Consider the following 19,229-nt stretch of genomic DNA (forward strand, 5'->3'; position numbering starts at 1 on the left):
CATTAGCCTTCGGCTTTGTATGTGATGCCGGTGAATTGGCAGTTACATACCTGTGTCCCCTTTAGCTAGTGGGGTGGCTGACAGGTGAGGAGGAGGTTGTTCTTTCCCAGCCTGAACCTGACTCCTTTTCATGCATTCTCTATGGGATGCTCCAACCATTCCCCCTTGAGATTCCTCTTCTAAGCCCATTTCCCGAGTCTGAAGTAAACACTCCATTGAGTGAGTATCTGGCTAAGGGCACCCTTTCCTCTGAGTCTATTTGAAGTTCATTTCTCAAACTACTCTTTTTGTTTTCAATTTTTAAAGTCCCTTCCCTCTCAGTCCTCCTGGAAGCGGCTTTCTCCGGGATGTGATGCCCCTGAGCGGACAGCAGAGGGCGCCCATGCCTAACAATCTTCCCGCACAAAGTGTGCAGCCGGGAGGGGCAGGTTGCAAGAGTCCCTCGCAGCTGCACAACCCAAGATGCCTCCCCTGGGGAGGCTGGGCGGGGCCAGTTCCTCTGTGGTCTGTGGTCTGTGGTCTGTGGTCAGAGATGGTTGTGTGCGCCAGCACTGTCACGGGAGACATTTCCATGGAGTTTTCTGTAGAGGAGGGTGAAAGCTGCTCTTCCTGGCTGGGAAAGAGTTTGGGTCTCCAGTTCTCTTCATAAACTAACAAACCTCTTATTCAAATCTGCCTTCCCTGCCTGCCTTCGGAGAAAAGGGGTTTGTGCCTTCCATTCCACTCCGCACTTAGCCCCTCCCAGTAACTCCTTAATTAATCGTGTAGCTGCCGCCCCAAGCTTTCTCCTAGTGGAAAGGCATTGTTGATTTATTGCCTGAAGCCTTGAGATCGTTTGGCTCCAAGACCCAGTTCTTCCAGAGCCTGAGTCAGTTTTTTTGAGTTACAGAAGTGGTGGCAAATTTTCATTCATAGAGGGTAGATTTGGTTTTTAAAAATGATCAAATGCCATTCAGCTCCAAATCTCTTGAGCAATGTAGGAAATAAAGCTGAGAATATGAATGTGCCAGCCTGGGCCCTGGTGTATGCTGGGTTCCGGATTGATGGGCATGTTACATGAACCTGGACCAGGAGATATGTTATAGTTGTTGTTATTTAATAAGTCTTTACTATAGAATCATGAGATCATGTATCTTAGGTGGCCTTAAACCAGCTCTGAAGACAAATGTAAAAGGGAACTATCCAAGGAAAATATCACTGTAGTAAAACTCCTGAAGGAGATGTTAGCTAAATGTTGGTTTGTTTATCCAAGTTCCACATTTATTAAAAAACACCATCCCTTATTATTTTATGTTTGTTCTTCATATATACCAATCCCTCAACCTACAAATATTTCATGGGCACAGAATATAAAAAGTTCACTGAGGGCCGGGCATGGTGGCACACACCTGTAATCCCAGCTACTCGGGAGGCTGAGGCAGGAGAATTGCTTGAACCCAGGAGACGGAGGTAGCAGTGAGCCGAGATTGCACCATTGCACTCCAACCTCGGCTGAGACTCCATCTCAAAAAAAAAAAAAAAAAAAAGTTCACAAGGATATAGGCCCAAAGGTCTTGAAGTTGAGTGGCACTGGCTCTGCATCTGCCATGAGAGTAGCTGAGTTCCCCAGGCTACCACCGTGTGTGTCCCAAGACAAGCCATTGAATCTCTAGAGTCTCAGTTTCTCATCTTTAACATGGAGACCTCAACAGCTCCCCTGCCCAGTGAAACCCCATCTTTACTGAAAATACAAAAATTAGCGGGCATGGTGGCACACACCTGTAATCCCAGCTACTTAGGAGACTGAGGCAGGAAAATTGCTTGAACCCAGGAGGTGGAGGTAGCAGTGAGCTGAGATCGTGCCACTGCACTCCAGCCTGGGCTACACAGTAAGACTCCATCTCAAAAAAAAAAAAATCACTGAGGATATAGGCCCAGAGGTCTTGGAGTTGAGTGGCACTGGCTCTGCATCTGCCGTGAGAGTAGTTGAGTTCCTCATGCTACCACCATGTGTGTCCCAAGACAAGTCATTGAATCTCTAGAGTCTCAGTTTCTCATCTTTAACATGGAGTCCTCAACAGCTCCCCTGCCTTCTTCTCCAAGGCCAGATTACCACCACAGATCTTCGTGTGTGCTTTGTGAACTTCAAAGTGCTGTAGGTGTATTGTTGCTTAGGATACCTTGATCCTTGTGCTTTCTGCTTTTTTCCATTGTAAGTTCCCTGAACGCAAAGAACATGCCTCAAGTTCTTGGGCCATTGCCCACTGTGCCCATGAAGGGTAACTTGGCAGTCAATGGAGACCTCATACCTTATCTTAACATCCTACCCAGGACAGGTTTTCTGGCTCAGGGCTCCAGTGGGGAGGCTCCTGGGCTTGCTATGGGAACACACCACTTTCAGTGGGCTGCCGTGTACTGGGAATGAAACCAGAGGTGCCAATTGCACTAACATGTGTTGAATGCCAACTTTGGGCTGGGCACTCCATTCAAAGATGTTGTGGATATGCAGTTGAATCAGACATGATCTCCTGCTCTCAAGGAGTTTACAAGTAAAGTTGATAGCGTATACAACGAGTCAATAATGCAACGTGCAGTGCTGAATGGGTTCCCAGTGGAGACACAGAATAATGATAATGTTACAAAGATGGAGAGATCAGGAGGAGCTTCACAGAGATGTGGCCTTTGAACTGGTCTTAAAGGATGAGTAGGACTCAGGTAGCTACAGCTGGTGAAGGAGTCATGCCAGGCAGAGAGGAATGTCTGAGCAAAGACGTAGACAGCAGGTCATTTGAGAAATAGCTAAATCAGCTGGAGGTGTGTGTGATGTACAGAAGGAGAGAGCTGGGAACTTTTTCTTTGGGGCCTAGCCATGGACAGCCTTAATTGCCCTGATAAAAAGCTGGGGCTTATCTCAGAGGCAGAACTAAATCATAACAGCTGATGCTTTGGGCAGATGGACTCAGACAAGCCATGTAGGCTATTCCAGAGGCAGAAGTGAAAATGATGTTGCTAAGTCTGAGAGACTGGTAACCAAAGAAGGCAAAGTCAAGCTGGTGCATGCCTGGGGCCTGGGTTTTTACAAGTGCAGCTGGTATTGCAAAGCCTCTACAGTCAATGAAATGCAAACAGAAAAGCTTTATGCTTTTCCAGCCAGTCTTCAAACCAACTCTCTGCTGTTCCCACTCCTTGCCTATTAACAGTACTTCAGGCAAAGCCCAGAATATCTCATTTCAGTAGTTATAAAGTCTGGTCTTAACCAAACTTAGTGGTCAATTCTTTCTCTCTGCCTCTACCTTCTTCCCCCTCCTTCCTTTTTTGGGTCTTCCTTCACTCTCTACCAGGGAATTGGGCCCTGGAGAAAGGATGAGAAGAGAGAGAAGTGCTCTTAAGTACGTGGTGCTGTTGATGCCTTCCATGTGGCAAGTATCAACAGGTGGGTCTTCTTAGTGCACATGGTGAGCTTTCAGGAGGCCCCATGGGGAACTCTGTGCTGCGAGCTAATAGGTATGGGCAGCGAATGCTCTGCTTGACCCCTTAGTTCCTGCCCACAGCAGTTCAACCCACAGCCTCCTACTGCGGGAGTCCCCTTGCCTTGAGAGGCCACTCTGTTGGTTTGGTACCTTCGGGATATTCTAAACACAACTTTTTTCCAGGGAATTCACTTGGCCCACAGAAAATGCCATATCCTGGACAAACGAAGTACAGGGAGGGGAGCGGTGGGATACAGTGCTCTCCCTTTCCTTCCCCACTTACACCCTCACAATGGGCCCCTGTCCTCAGAGGTCTCTATCAAGAAGAGACATCCATCTCGATGCTCACGGTAGCTCAGGCCCCTCCCAGCTCTCCCTCCCCACCCTCTGTGGCAAGGTGGGGCAGTGGGTTTCTGCTGCTAGGCAAGCATCAGCCAGGATGCCAGGTGCCAGCCTCCCCATTGTGTAGGTACCCACGCCCACTCAATAAGTGGCTCTTTTCTGCCCCCTTCATTTGCCACGGGAATGGGGATCCCTCCCTCTCGCTGTATACCCTGAAGGGGTAGGGTAAAGCCATGACTCTACTCCCCAAATACTCCTTATTCTACGGACTTCTCTCCTTAAATTCCAATCTTCTATGAACATTGGCTCAAGAAGAGGAATAAGTCACAGAACCAGCTCATCTACCTTCATAAGTCCTTAGAACATGAGGGGACCTCATGGCCTCACCTTGGGGCTTTAGCCAAAATTCCAAAACGACAGGAAGATACTCTTTGGTATTTTATTCCATTAGTGACACTTTGTAGCAGAGTTTCACCATCTCAGTACTTGTGACATTTTGGGCCAGATAATTCTTTGCTGTGGGGCCATCCTGTGCATTATAGATGCTTAGCAGCATCCCCAGCCTCCATCTAGCAGAACTCCCCTTGTCATGACCATCAAAAGTGTCTTCAGATATTGCCAAATGTCCCTGGGGGTGGGGAGGGACACGCTTGTTCCCTGGTGAGACTTTTTTTTTTTTTTTTTTTAGACCAAGTTTTACTCTTGTCACCCAGGCTGTAGTGCAATGGCGTGATCTCAGCTAACTGCAACCTCTGCCTCAAGCGATTCTCCTGCCTCAGCCTCCCAAATAGCTGGGATTACAGGTGCCTGCCACCACGCCCAGCTAATTTTTGTATTTTTAGAAGAGACGGGGTTTCACCATGTTGGCCAGGTTGGTCTTGAACTCCTGACCTCAGGTGGTCCGCCCGCCTCTGCCTCCCAAAGTGCCGGGATTACAGGTGTGAGCCATCATGCCTGGCCTGAGACTGCTTAATAGACTAAAGGAAGGCATTGAAAGTTTTTGAACAAGAAAGCAGTATAAAATTATAAACAAATATTTGGTTGATTTCACTAAAGGATATGAAAAAAATGGCCAAGGCCAAGAAATACTTACTGTGCAAATGACATCTTTTTCACAGTCTTTAATAGTGTACAAAGTACTGTCATTAAATTATCTCCCTTAACTTTCACACCAACCATGTGAGGAAGGGTGGGCCCACACTGCACGGGTGAGTTGTCAGCGTGGAGGATGGGGGCTAAGGTGCGGAGAGCTCTCAGGTTAGGTAGGGTGTGGAGAAGGAGTTAGGTGTAGGGCGGGGCTTTTCCATGGAGTCTGGACTTTCTTTCCAGAGCAGGAATCCTGTAGAAGATATTTGGATGAATAATAATAATAATAATGGTGTACTAAAATTAACTGAGAGCTCACTACGTGCTGGACATAGCCCTGTGTATGGTTCGTAGATCATCTCATCTGCTTCTCTCAACAGGCCCCTGTGGATAGGTACTATTATTTTTCACAGTTTACAAGGTAGAGAACTAAGGTCTAAAAGGTTAAATCACTTTCCCAGGGTTATTCAGTGATCAGATGGGATTTTAATTGAGGCCGGCTGGGCTGACTCCGAGCCTGTGTTTGTAACCATGGCCCCTTCCTGCTTGCATTTCCTCCAATCTGACTCATAGGCAGGCTCCACAGTCATCAGAGCCCTGCACTCGCTTGGTCCCTGCAGCTCACCCAGGCTTTCCTGTTATCAGCACTGTTTGTTAGCAAAATGGGTTGGTTCATTGCCATTTGCCTGCTGAAAAGCGTTAAACCAAAACTAGAAACTAGAAATTGTTTGTCCCTTTTACAGTATGTTGGATGATCCAAGGCAGGCTGTGGAATAGAATGTTCTGGCAATCTCCTCGAAACTCCAAGATTGTGTTTTAATTGCAATCTCAATCTTCAGCAGAAAATAAATTAATATTTTTGCCCATCTTCCGTGCCAGTCACAGCACTAAGAGCATTAGCTTATGTAATCCTCACAAGAATCCCATTTTACAGATTCGGTGATTGAGGCTCAGCGAGGTTTAAGTCCATCATGAATGACAAAGTCAGGACTCAGAACCCAAGTATGTCTTATGTACATTCTCTTACACTAGGCTTTATGCATCTTTCATCTTTTTATCCTTATAAGATGTGTATTATTATCTGACCTTTACAAATAAGAGAAGGAAATAAAAGGCAGAGAGGGTGAGTAACTTTCCCTAAATCCAAGACTACTGCTGGCAGAGCCAGGAGCCAGGCTCTGGCTGCCTAAGTCCAGAGTGACAAGCTTTTCACCCCAGAGCCATGAGCTCAGGCTCTACGAGAATTTGTGGAAAATAAGGCTTCATCCCTCTGTTTTAAGTCAGCTACGTAGTACAGGGTGTGGGACTCCAAAAACATTCGTCAGCCTTGACTGCGCTGTCCCCTCACACAGCTGATTCCGCTTGTAGGTGAGGCATGTGGAATGAGGAAAGCTTTTGCTCTTCAGCGATGTGGGGCCCTAGAAGCTTGTCATGGCTTCTGTGGAGCCGGGCCTTCAGGAAGGTGAACCTCAATCCAGGTGGGGCTGAACATCCACTCAGTTGCTCTTCCTAGGGTATAAGGAGGACCAGCTCAGGAAGGAGGTGGCCTTTGAGGCTCTGAATCTCATGGGACCAGCCCATGCAATGAAGACAGCCCAGCTCCTGCCAAGCTTCTGTTCAGGCTTAGTGAGGCTCCCTAGCAGCAGTTCGGGAGACATCGCACCTGATGGATGTGCAGCACCCTGCTGGGCCCTGACCACTCTGTGTTTTGCTGCAGGCAAGAGCTAGGGTTGGCTGGAAAAGGGATCAAAGATTGGAATGGGGCTGGGTGCGGTGGCTTATGCCTGTAATCTCAGCACTTAGGGAGGCCAAGGCGGGCAGAGGACTTGAGGTCAGGAGTTTGAGACCAGCCTGGCCAACATGGCGAAACCCCGTCTCTACTAAAAACAAAACAATTAGCTGGGCATGGTGGCACACACCTGTAGTCCCAGCTACTTGGGAGGCTGTGGCAGGAGAATGGCTCAGACCCAAGAGGTGGAGGTTGCAGTGAGCCAGGATTGCACCCCTGCACTCCAGCTTGGGCGACAGTGAGAGGCCATCTTAAAAAAAAAAAAAAAAAAGGAATGGGACACAAGTGACCACCAGCGGTGGCGGGGAAGTGAATTTTCCTGGAAGGCCCTTGTTACCTGTAAGGCAGTTGAATGTGTCCAGTGAATTATGCTGGCAGAGGAAAGAGATCAAGGAGGCCACAATTAAATTTTAACACCCACCTCCAACCATTTTCATCATAGTTCACAGTAAATGCAGATACACAAGTTAAGGGAAAGAACAGCAGAATTAAGATTTTCATTCCATTGCTTAATGTCCAAGGCTAAGAGATCCCTAGATTTTTCTTAGTAATAAAGCGATGTTAGTTTTTCTACCATTGTATGTTCACTGAGGGATGTATTTGGACTGGAGAGTTAATCATGGGGGTTTTGAGGGGACAAGTTATTGACAGGGAATGAGACAAATGTCATCCACATTGTCCTTTAGGGGATTTTTTCTAGTTGTGTGGAACCTAGTTCAACAACACAGATTACTGTGTGCTTTGTCCACCAGGCCCTGGGTCAGGTTCTGGTGGTATGGAAAAGGTAAAGCAGGACTGCCGTGTGCAGTTGTTCAGGCTGCACATTTACATTTACAACCCTAGGGGGTACCATGTAATTCACAGCATACATCGATTTGTGTATCTGTTAAGCCCTATTCCTGCAGATGGCAGGTACGTGAGTTGAAGACAGTGAGCTATATGGGCTGTCAGTGGTGTCAGACACAGTCTATACCTTCAAGGAGCTCATTGTCCAGCCAATGGTTGGGATTCAAAAACTAGGTGACTCTGGACATCCTAGACTAGAAGGTGGGAGAGGTTTCCTCTCTTTCCCTTTTAAGAACAGGCTGCACAGGGTTAGATAAGATTAGAAAATAAATTTGGTGTACTCTAGTCTTTTGACTATCATTGCTAGCTCATGATATAACAGAAAAATCTATTCCTTTGTTACCGCCTCCCACCAACTCCCAGAACCGGAGATCTTCCACCAACTCCCAGGACAGAGAACATCTCTCCTGTGGCCTTATACTCAATTGCCTCCAATTAGAATAAGTCTTTTTCTGCTCATTATTCTTAGTAGAAAAACAAAAACAAAAAACCAAGTTAATTTTGAAAGACAGCATCTCTTCCCAGTCTCCCCAGAATGTGCCCTGGGGCAAAGCTGGCTGTGCAGCAAAGCCCAGCTTAGATTCAGGCATTGTGCTCTGGGATTTATGGTCTCAGGACCCCAGCCCCAGCCTCGACCCCAGCCTCTGATATCCCTTCTCTATGTCTGAGACGACTTCCCTGTAGCACAATAACACACCCCATGCTCCAGCAGTGCCAATTTCACACATATTATTTTATTACTCATTTGTTTGCTTTCCAGGGCAAGTGAAAAAATAATTTAAACCAATTGTATGTACAGAGGCTTGATTAGTTTTCCCAAGAACTTCCAGAAAGTCTCCCAGCCCTGTAGACAGCAAAGCGTATTACCTTTAACATCTATACAAAAGTCCACCTATAAAAGTCTCATGTGTAGAAAGGTTTTCTTTATTATAAGCATCACATTTTGGGGACAGGAAGGGGGTCAGGGTGGGAGGTGGAGGAAAGTGCAGGGTGGGGGTCCACACACACCTGCCCAGGGGTCATCCTGGGTGGGGAGGCTGTGGCTGGTGGGGCTCAGGTGATCTGCAGCGGGGTCTCCAACATCTCCATGAGGAAGGTGTCAATGGGGGTGTCCCCGATGAGCTTGAAGAAGAAGAGGTGCTCCAGGCATTTCAAGCCAATGGAACGCAGAGCTGGGAGGCGCAGCAGCAGCTTGGCAAACCTGCAGGGAAGCCAAGAGGCATCAGGGACAGGGACGGGCAGGCACTGCACACCTGCACCTGCTGGCAGGAGGCCGTCCAATTGGCCTTCTCGACCCATCTGTGATAAAAGAGCTGGAAGGGTAGACAAGGGGGTCACAGAATCTCTAAGCCTAAAGAGCTTCAGAAACAGGCTGGAGGGCTTGTCAGCCTTAACAGAAGCTGGAGCGCATGACCCTTCAAGAATCTTGAATTCTGTAGCCATGTCCCAGGACTGCCCTCAGCTCCCCTCATTCACAGTGGAGAAGAGGAAGAACTAGATGACTGTGTCCACTCACTTTGCCAGCCATACTGGCTCCTCACATTCTCTGTGTCCCTCGGGTACCCGCACAGATCTGCTGAGGCACTTAGAGCCAAGCGTGAGACACTGAATGTGCTCAACCCATGGTAGCTGTCACCATTAGATGACACGTTTGAGAACCTTACTCTAGCCATCATGCCATCAATTTGCTTTAGTTTCCAGCCCCCACAAAAAATCTTTTTAAGAATGGGTTCTCACCATGTTACTCAGGTTGGACCTGAGTACCTAGGCTCAAGCAATCCTCTCACCTCAGCCTCCCAAGTAGGCGGGACTACAGGCACATGCCTTGGGGTCCACAGTCACCAAATTTTTGTTGCCAATTTGTAACCAATTGTTACCAATTTTTTTTTTTTGAGACCGAGTTTCACTCTTGTTGCCCAGGCTGGAGTGCAATGGCCCAGTCTCAGCTCACTGCAACCTCTGCCTTCCGGGTTCAAGCAATTCTCCTGCCTCAGCCTCCCAAGTAGCTGCGAATACAGGCTCCCACCACAATGCCTGGCTAAATTTTTGTAGTTTTAGTAGAGACAGGTCTTTGCCATGTTGGCCAGGCTGGTCTTGAATTCCTGACCTCAGGTGATCCACCCACCTCAGCCTCCCAAAGTGCTGGGATTACAGGCGTGAGCCACCGCACCCGGCCAATTGTTACCAATTTTTATGATCAACTTATTAGTCTATGCTTACCCTTAAATTAGGAAAAGAGAAAATCATAGTCTCTGCCCTTGAGGAGTCTATGGTCTGTTTGGGGAGAGGATACATGGCACACATGCATACACACTGACCCACACATTATCCTACACACTCACACATGCTTCACACCCATGTGCCCGCACACACATCCTCACCACTCACACACGCACACTCACACTCTTTTACACTGTCACATTCCCTTGCATACATGCACTTACACACACACCCTCACACATACACACATGCCCACTCATGCACACTTTCACATGAACTCACATGTGCCTGCACACACACCTTCACACACACTCATGCACACACACCTTCACACACTCTCATGCATACACACCTTCACACATACTTCACATGTTTGCACACGCATCCACACACTCATGCTCTCACACTATATTCATGCACATTATACACAATACACATACTCACACATGTGCACACACTCATTCTCACATATCTCATGCCTGTGGTCTCACATACATGCACATGCACACTCTTACACACACGTGCATGCATGCACTCACACATACACACATGCAGACACACTCCACACTCACACTCTAACATGTTCTTACAACATGCACACACACATACCCTCACACACTCACTCATACACACCCTCACACACATTTTTCTATAACTGAGGACATTTGTTGTGAGATTCACAAAAGGGAGAAAGACCAGTGTGTGAAGGAATTCATCTCCCATCTGCATGTCCTTTCGGGTACTTCTCTCTGTGACATTTTTCACTCTGTCTGTGTGACCCTCTGTGCACAGTGCAATGCCAGCTCATTTTTAACGTTATTAATGCTACTAGACATAAAGTCACTCTACTCACAACTTCCAAAAAAAGCTCAAGGACCAAAATCACTTTAGTCACTGTGGCCCTAAGTCAGAGATTTCTGGTTCCAGATGAATCTTTACTGAGTGTCACAACATTATTTCATGAAAAAGTTACAAATTAGAATTTCAATGTTCCTTGAAAATGTGTATATTTCTACACTTATGCCATAAGACATTTTAAAGAAATGTAGCAATACAAGGAAAATAAAGCGGCACCATCTAAAAAAGTAGAAATTGCTTCCCTACATGGAAAAATTAAAGATCTATGCCAATGCTACACATTACTTCAAAAGCCTCCAGTGGTAAAGCCCCTGAAAGCATTTGAGTGGCATCACCATTCAGGAAAGAGGTAGTTAGAGAATAAGGAGGCTGAACTCCCGGCCGTGCCTCTGCCGTTAAGCTTTATGGAAGTAGGCAAAGGAAACAGCTTCTCTGTAAGTACAAAGTTAGACTGGGATTAACTTTAAAAAATTTTTTTAACTCTAAAAAGGCCACGATTTTACAATATCTAAAATTCGAAGTATGCCATCATACTACCCTCTTTGTTGTGTGACCTGGATTTAGGAACTGAGATCAAGGCTAATAGAAATAAACACACCCATGAACGTCACAGCATTCCTCACCCACAGGTTAGCAGCAAGGGGCATTTATGCCTTTGAAGGTGCCTGCTGTGTGTGCAAGAGAGTGTGTGTGTGAGTTCTGTGACCTGACTTTTGATCTCTGCTTTCTGATCAGAGTGAAAGCAGAATGTGGCCCTTGTGACATGCACTTCTGAAATGTTTCCACAGAGTGGCAGCACTCTCCCACTGAGAAATCTGCCTCTACCTGGCTGTGCCAGGATCCCCTTCAACCAGGTTCTGCGGACCAGAGGTGACCAGCCCTCAGCACACCCACATGCCTGGCCAGTGACACCCCTGATGTACCTACTGAGCCAACTATGAACACTTGATCAGGGCAGTCAGCCTCAGTCCAAGCTGTGATGGACAAACCCAGGAGACTATGCAGGGGACTCTGCCACCTCCTTGCAGTTCTAAGTTCTGCCCTAGTCCTGGCAACAAGTGTTGGCCTCTCTCCCCAGAGTGTGGAGGCAGCCCAGCCCCCTGCCAGCCATATTCTGGCAGAAGAGTCAAGTTCCAAAGTTTTCAAAGTGATATGAATTAGAAACAACCCAAATGTCAATCACAGGGCGATGACTAAATACATTAGGATATGTTCACACTGCAAAATATTACAAAACCATTGAAAATGATAATTTGTAGTTGTCAGTAATTGAATAAAATTTCTAGAATGGCTAAGGGAAGAAAATAATACACCAAACTGTATAATTTCATATCTAGAAATGCATACATGACATGCGTAATACATAATAGTTACACGAGGATACACACGAGACATAATAGATACACGACAACACTGGAAAGAAATATACCAAAATATTTACAATAAGTTCTTATTACCTGTTTTTTGTTTTTGTTTTTGTTTTTGTTTTTGATGGAGTTTCGCTCTTGTCATCCAGGCTGGAGTGCAATGGCATGATCTCAGCTCACCACAACCTCCACCTCCCCGGTTCAAGCGATTCTCCTACCTCAGCCTCCTGAGTAGCTGGGATTATAAGCTCATGCCACCACACCTGGCTAATTTTTGTATTATTAGTAGAGACAGGATTTCTACATGTTGGTCAGGCTGGTCTTGAACAACCGACCTCAGGTGATCCGCCAGCCTCAGCCTCCCAAAGTGCTGGGATTACAGACATGAGCCACCGCATATTTTTAAAAAATATTTTTATAATTTTTTTAACCAAAGCATGCATTGCTTTTATAGTTAGGAAAAAAGTGAGTTGGAGTTTTTTGTTGGTTTTTTAAGATAAACAGCAAGACAGAGACAATTTCAGGAAAATGATATGTACGACTCTCATTATTTGTAATGTCCTGCACATAATATGTGCTCAAAAAATGGAAGATTTGATAGAAAGCATCCAACTCAGGGCTTCAATTAAGATGATTTGCCCAAGGCTCACACCTGACAGAGGCCAAGCTATTGCTGGCAGCCAGGTCCTGACCCCTTGGCCAGGGCTCTCTCAATCTCATCTATAGTGAACTACCAGGTTCACCAAAATCCAATATTTTCTTCTGTTCTTCGGCATACAACAGGATACATTCTCCAGCCTCCTTTGTGGCCAGCTGGGCCACGTGACTTGGCATCAGCTAATGAAAGTGAATGAAAAGGTGAGGGCCCTCTAAGACCGAGGTCTGGCCCATATGGCCTAGCCTCTCTGCCCCTCCACCTCTTCCCCCTTCCATCATCTGGATGCAAAACACAGTATGGCTCTGGGTCATGGTGGAGACACAAGAAAAAAGGAGTCTTGGTCCCTGAGTGATGGCATGCAAGGCAACCACCTCTCTGAACTGACTGCCCACCCAGATTTGTGAGCAAGGAATAGATGTTTGTGTTAAACTGGTGGCATCTGGTGGGTCTATTACAGCTTAATCTCACTAATATACTAGGCCCTGCCTATTCATTGCACCAAAGGGCCAAAACCCACCTACTCAAATTCATCCACAGCCTCCAACAAAAAACACAGCTCAGTCTCTTCTGGACAATTGCTAGAGGTTGGCTTATGATTCAGGATAAACAGCTAAGTAGATATTAGACTTCACAGAGGAATGGAAACCATTAGTGAGCATTGGGAGCATGTAAAATTAATCCCCCAAACAAAATTAATGTCTTCAAGACAGGCTTTTCCGTTTCATTTCCAATTTTCTATGAGATTTGAGGATCATACTTTCTCATTTTAACTGGCATTAGCAGAGAGGGAAAACTCTTTGGCTTAGCTGTACTTTGGAAGAAAGTTTTGAGAATATCTTTTAATAACTCAGAAATACCTATACTGCTAGATGGCCTCAGAGATCTGCTAGATGGCCTCAGAGATCTGCTAGACCAACATCCACCTTTCCAAATGAGGAGCCCAGACTCAGACCCAGCACCTTCCCAGATGCCACACACGTGGCACCCTGGGGACCAGCATCCATATCTTCTGGCTGCCAAAGCCTGTACTTCCTACTGCATGGGGGTTTCTATGGGGGCAGACCAGAAAGCAATGCAGTCACACCTCAAACACAGGCTCTGTGAAATCACACGAACAGGGTTCACATCTCACCTCCACCGCGTGCTAGCATTATGGTCTTCAGCAAGTTACTTACATTTCTGAGGTTCTGTTTCTTGATAGAAATTGGAGATAATAATTCCCACATTTATTCATTTGTTTGCTATTCATCCTCCATTTAAAGATGTGTACTATGTGTCGGGCACTATTTTACGTGTTGAGGCTAGAGGAGTGAATGGTGAGCAAGACAGATAAGGCCGCTAGCCCAATGGAATTAACATTTTTGTGGCTTTCAGCTTGTTATGAAGATTAAATAACATTTAAAAACACCTAAACAGTGCCTGCTGCACTTTAGGGGCTCAGTAGATGAAGAGTGGGAGTAGTTGCTGCTGTTACTACGATTCTGCCAGCACTGTCTCACCTGCCTGGCTGTTCCGGATACTTCTGCTTGGTGTAGGCCTCAAGGGTGGCATAAACCTTCTCTCGCAGAGTCTCCACCTCAGAGGGGTTGGACAGGCCCTTGGCATCTAAAAGACATGACTGAGTTAGCCTTTGATTACACACCCTCCAGCAGAGGCTGTCCCCATTCTCTCTGGCCACTCTCTGTAGAGTTACTAGAGACACCCTGGATGGGGACAAGTGTGAAATAAACAAAGCTGGTCATTCATGCCCCCTTGCTCTTCTTTCTGTGCCCAATTTACCCAACAAACTCTTGGGGCAAAGATTTTAAACTCCATGAATAGGCAAATGTACCCACCACTGACTCTAAGGAGGAGAGCTTAATTTTATCCGGACCATTCTCGAAATATTACCTGCACACATTTACCGAGTGCCTATTATGTGCTGAGCATGGACTGAGTCATAAGATGGGGCACGAAAGCTGAATTGGCACATGTCCTGCATTGATGAACTAACTGCCTAATTCTGGAGATAAAGCCTCTGCATGAATGACTACATAATTCTGAAGGTTCATCTTTCTTGACCACAGCAGGGTTTGCTGGAGCTGATCGCCTCCTTCTTGAAAGACTATTTTCCCTCGAGCCTCCAGGACACCACCCTTCTGATTCTGTCCCTATCTCACTGCCTGCCCCTTCTCAGGTTCCTCTGCTGGCTCTCCCTTTTTTACCTGACCTCTAAATGTTGGCATGCCCCAGGGCTCAGTCCCCAGCCATCTTCTCTGCTCTATCTCCCCAGATGATCTCACCCCAGTGTCACAGCCTTACACAGGCAGAGGCTGACAGCTCTCAGATGCACATGGCTTCTCCCATGAAGTCCAGACTCATATGAGCAGTTGCTTCCTGGGCAGCCACTCTTGGATATCTACTACCCATTTCCTATTTTAATGTCCAAAGACAAGATCCCGATTCCTACCCACCCGCTGTCAGAACTTGCTCCTCATGGAGTTTTCCCCATCTCGGTGAATAAGAACTTCATTTTTCCCATTGTTCAGGAAAACAAAACTTAAAAAAAAAAAAACCCAGAGAGTCATCTATAACTCCTTTCTTTCTTTCTCATTCTATATTCAATCCATCAGCAAATCACAGTGGCTTTATCTAGAAATATATCCAGAATGTGATCGCTTTTTACCACCCCCTTCACTGCCACCCTGGGCCACCGTCATCTTTCATCTTCCCCACTTGCCCCAGACACGCGCCTGCCACACTCATTCAAAACATTTTCCAAAATGGCTCTAGCTGACACTGTGAGCTCTCCTGGATTCCTGGCTCTGCCATCTGTGTCTCAGCTGAGATGGAGGACCAATAACATGGGAGCACTGGAGGTTGACCGTGGAAGAGGGCTGAACACACACATCCCCTGGGGTTGAAGGGCGGTTACCTGGGTTAAAGAGTACAATGGCTCGCAGGCATCCCAGTTCCGACTTGTCCATCTGCATGTCTTTCATTTTGGAAACCAGCTCAGTTAGGACTCTGTTAACAGGAAACAAGCAGGTAATGAGAAAACCGTAAGTAACAGGCCAAGAGCCAATAAAATGAATTCAACCAAAATTTTTATAAGCCCACTCTGTTTCCAGATGATGTACCAGTTACTAGGGGTACAGAAATGAAAAAGATGCAACCCCTCATTGCAAGGAGATTACAGTTTAACTAAAGAAACAGACATTAAAAACTAGCAGCAGCACGATGCCCAGGAATATAACTGCCATGAGCAAAGTCCAAGTGGGTTCCAAAGAGGAAGCAATGAACTCCAAGCAGGGAAATGGAAAGGCATCATGGAAGTCTTGGAAATTAGAAACGCAACAGGCACAGCAAGGTAAGGGGATTGCATGTCTAGAAAAACACAGCAGAGGGCAGCATTCAATGAACTGGTAGAAAGGTCCGGTTACCACGAAGGGGGATGAGTCATTCCAAACACCATGTTGGGCTCTACATGGAACATGTGGGAAAGGGCAGGGAAGTAATAGATACAGCTCAGTGGATGTGCACATGACCAAAGAAGACCATTTACGATGGAGGTAGAAAGGGACAACGGGGCCCTGGCATTGGACAGAGAGATTAATTTCAACTTAATTCTCCTCTTTACCAGTTCTCCATCCTCTCACTCTCAAGTCATTAACTACTCATTTTATTCAACTCCTTATCAGATGGCTTAATTTTCCTTTAGTATCATTTAAGGCACAGAATTTCTGTCAGGGTATCCCTGCCTGACGAAGATGGGTTTGCTCCTGCTGCAGGCCTCCTTCTGAGATCATCCAGAGCCCAGCATAAACAGTCCATCTTGCCTGGCCTCTTGAGGACAGATCCTGATCCCTTTCCCATCCTTGGCCCCCAGGATAAACAGTTCACCCTCTCCACCCACAACTTACTAGCTGATGTCAAGATCTAATCTCTCCTTAGGAAATCCATTGGGAGAATAGGTTCTCCCAACTGCCTGGCAACTGTGCTGGCCTCTGAGTGGCTCCATCTTATTGTGATCTCAATCTTTCTTTTAATCTCTCCCTCATTCCCCAGGTTTATAGTTTCATGTGCCTAGTGGTCTCTGCATGGTCATGTGTAGCTAACTGTTTGGGCTGCCCATCCTCCATCCCAGCACTACCCAGAGGTTCATGCCCACGTGAGAATTCATGTATGTACACATGTGTATACACACACACACACACACACACACACACATAATACACACAAATACTGGAAGCAGGAGAGAGACACCTGTCAAAGATGGAGCCGACCCCAGCACTGTGGGCACTGCTCCGGTGGACATGTAAACCCGTGGCCAGAAGGATGCCATCCTGCACGGAAACTGAGCGGTGGGAGAAAGAGGCAATCAGCAATTCATTCCACCCTGCAAGGATAAGGAGGAGGTCTTGAGGGAAAACAGAACACATTCTTTCTTTACTTATAATCACCCAAGGCATGTACTATTATCCCACATAACACAAGCAGAATTGACAATCTAGGGAGGTTAAGAATTAGTTCAAGATGACACAGTTCATTAGCGAAGAAACAAAGGATAAGACTGGGGTCTCCTGACTTATGGCTCTGCACATCCCCCCACTCTCTCTCAGATGCAACCCAGAATGACAGCTTGAAGACAAGGATTCTTTTTTTTTTTAATCAGTCAACAAATGTGGGTTGAACATTTAGCGGATAATAGTCACTATGTTAGCTGCCATGGTGGATAAAGCTAATATACCTTGCAGTTTTTCCCCTTAGGATCTGACAACCTAGTTTTGTTTCTTTGGCATTGTCTAGTAACACCCAACACAGTCTGTAGCTTTCAGCTGACACTCAGTGAGTGCTCATTATCTAACAGGGATGAATGAGTGGACTGGTTCCCAATGCTCAGCCAATCTTCATGAAATTTCCCTGCTGGCTCAGTGACAAAGAGGAGATATGGCATATGTCAACGGCCTGCAAGTGTCCCAGAAATAGGAGGCAAAAGAAAATACAGCACATAGAGTCTTAAAATAGGAAGACAGTGGAACCCGTCTAGTACAAGCTTGAGCAAACATCTTTGGCTTCTTTATCTCACCTATGAAATGGGAATACCTCTATTTGCCAATTTCATTACAATAATGAGCCACTGCTTCAAATTATCCTCAATAAAATGATTTAATAGTCTTTTTAAAATTTATGCAAATTATAAAGCCGTGGTAAAATTTGCATGGGAAAAGAGTCCCACTTCTTCATTAACGATGCTTCCTTTGGGAATGAACAACCCCGCACAGGGTTATTTCATCATCAGCATGGTACATAGCTTGGACATGTTGCAGCTCCATCAGGCTACTTTTTTTAGGATCCCAAGAGCAATTTCAAAATTGTCCCAGGAAAAAAGGCAGCCAATGTGCTTTACCTGCCCGAAGCAAAATGACCTGGTCCTCCAAGGTGAGGTCAGAGAAGTGGGGAATACGCTTGGCCCATTCAACGAGGGTGAAAAGCTGCTTGTCAGCAGCATGACATATGTTGGTAACAGGGTCATTTGTCTGAAAAAGGAACAAAGTACTGTGAGGCACAGGTCCCAGGACTCAAATACACCCCTTTCTCCCATTTCCAGCCCTACCCAAGAAATGGAACACACATGTGTGTCTAAGAGCACATACCGAGTTCTCCATATTCATGTCACCATAGGATTCTGTCTTTGGTTCAACAGCAAGTTCAGCTTCTAGAATCCTCTCCACAGGCATGTCTTCATGACCACTGGTAGCACATTCTGCCTCACTCTCAGCTCGCTCTCGGCTCCTCTGTCTTTCTTCTTGCACAGCTGACATGCAGCAGGACATGCAGAGGTTACCATAATGCCCAGGACAACAGTGGGAAAGTTTATTACCCACATGAGCCTCAATTTACTCATCTATGAAAGGGGAATCATTATGATCCTGAATTGGGGATGTTGGAATGTTGACAGATGAAACAAGGAAAGCAAAGCTGTTTGCTTATGCCTAAGGAGAATGAGGGGTTCTTTAGTGCATATTCTTTCCAATGCATTATGGTGACGACACTAGGAAGTATCCATTTTAAGCTTTAATAAACTCTAATTGTATCCTCTCTTTTAATGGGCCAACCACTCCTTGCTATCCCTGCAGATCCCCACATTCTTGCTCTACCTGCTGCCTCTAAAAAACTGTGAGCATGAAATAGTTAAGTAACAAGCACATTACTTTAAAAACTCCCTCTGTCAGATCCTATGCATCATCCTTGGCATTCACGTCCCATTAGGTCTGCCCCTAGTGCACCAGCTTGAACACAACATCACCTGATCCGACTTGTCAGGGAAGATCTTTAGGGAGCCAGCTGTGGGTATTTAGTAAGTGAAGGGGTGGAGGGATGTCACCTAGATGACATTTCAGAATCAGTGGCTCATTTTGGAGGTTGGGGAGGGTACATAGGCAAAGGTGTAGGCTGAAATTATCTCAGCCTCTCCAAAGCTTAGGGTTTTCATCAAGGTTCAGTGCAACTCTCAGAACCCTCCATGTCTATACATTAGGATTGAAAGCAGACTGCTGCCCCCTCCAATTCTATGCTCTTCATCAGGAGAAAAGTCTCTGTTGGGTTAGTTTCCATCATCTAGAAGGCTGTAG

At 46.1% G+C, this 19,229-nt stretch overlaps 1 protein-coding gene across 3 annotated transcripts in view, besides 3 other annotated features; it reads right to left on the reverse strand.

Annotated features, from left to right (window-relative positions):
- Window positions 369–418: a silencer, noted in NCBI's record as "silent region_1499". NCBI's record gives its function as "represses an Ori minimal core promoter by ATAC-STARR-seq in GM12878 lymphoblastoid cells {active_cell/tissue: GM12878}" and the evidence as "EXISTENCE:reporter gene assay evidence [ECO:0000049][PMID:35858748]".
- Window positions 529–738: an enhancer, noted in NCBI's record as "active region_2015". NCBI's record gives its function as "activates an Ori minimal core promoter by ATAC-STARR-seq in GM12878 lymphoblastoid cells {active_cell/tissue: GM12878}" and the evidence as "EXISTENCE:reporter gene assay evidence [ECO:0000049][PMID:35858748]".
- Window positions 8,153–8,654: an enhancer, noted in NCBI's record as "H3K4me1 hESC enhancer chr1:165370087-165370588 (GRCh37/hg19 assembly coordinates)". NCBI's record gives its function as "activates a minimal SCP1, AML or CMV promoter by ChIP-STARR-seq in primed H9 embryonic stem cells {active_cell/tissue: H9 hESC(primed)}" and the evidence as "EXISTENCE:reporter gene assay evidence [ECO:0000049][PMID:30033119]".
- The window catches only part of RXRG (retinoid X receptor gamma), a 44,205-nt gene continuing 33,200 nt past the window's right edge, over window positions 8,225–19,229 (reverse strand). For all 3 annotated transcript variants that reach the window (NM_006917.5, NM_001256570.2, NM_001256571.2), the window contains 6 exons: window positions 18,252–18,412; window positions 18,005–18,134; window positions 16,861–16,993; window positions 15,530–15,621; window positions 14,115–14,220; window positions 8,225–8,713 (listed from right to left, as the gene is read on the reverse strand). In NM_006917.5, the coding sequence (NP_008848.1) occupies window positions 8,566–8,713; window positions 14,115–14,220; window positions 15,530–15,621; window positions 16,861–16,993; window positions 18,005–18,134; window positions 18,252–18,412 (770 nt within the window). In that variant the 3' untranslated portion in view covers window positions 8,225–8,565. The remainder of the gene's footprint in view (window positions 8,714–14,114; window positions 14,221–15,529; window positions 15,622–16,860; window positions 16,994–18,004; window positions 18,135–18,251; window positions 18,413–19,229) is intronic.

The sequence above is a fragment of the Homo sapiens genome, chromosome 1 (assembly GCF_000001405.40).
Source record: "Homo sapiens chromosome 1, GRCh38.p14 Primary Assembly".
NCBI lineage: Eukaryota > Metazoa > Chordata > Mammalia > Primates > Hominidae > Homo > Homo sapiens.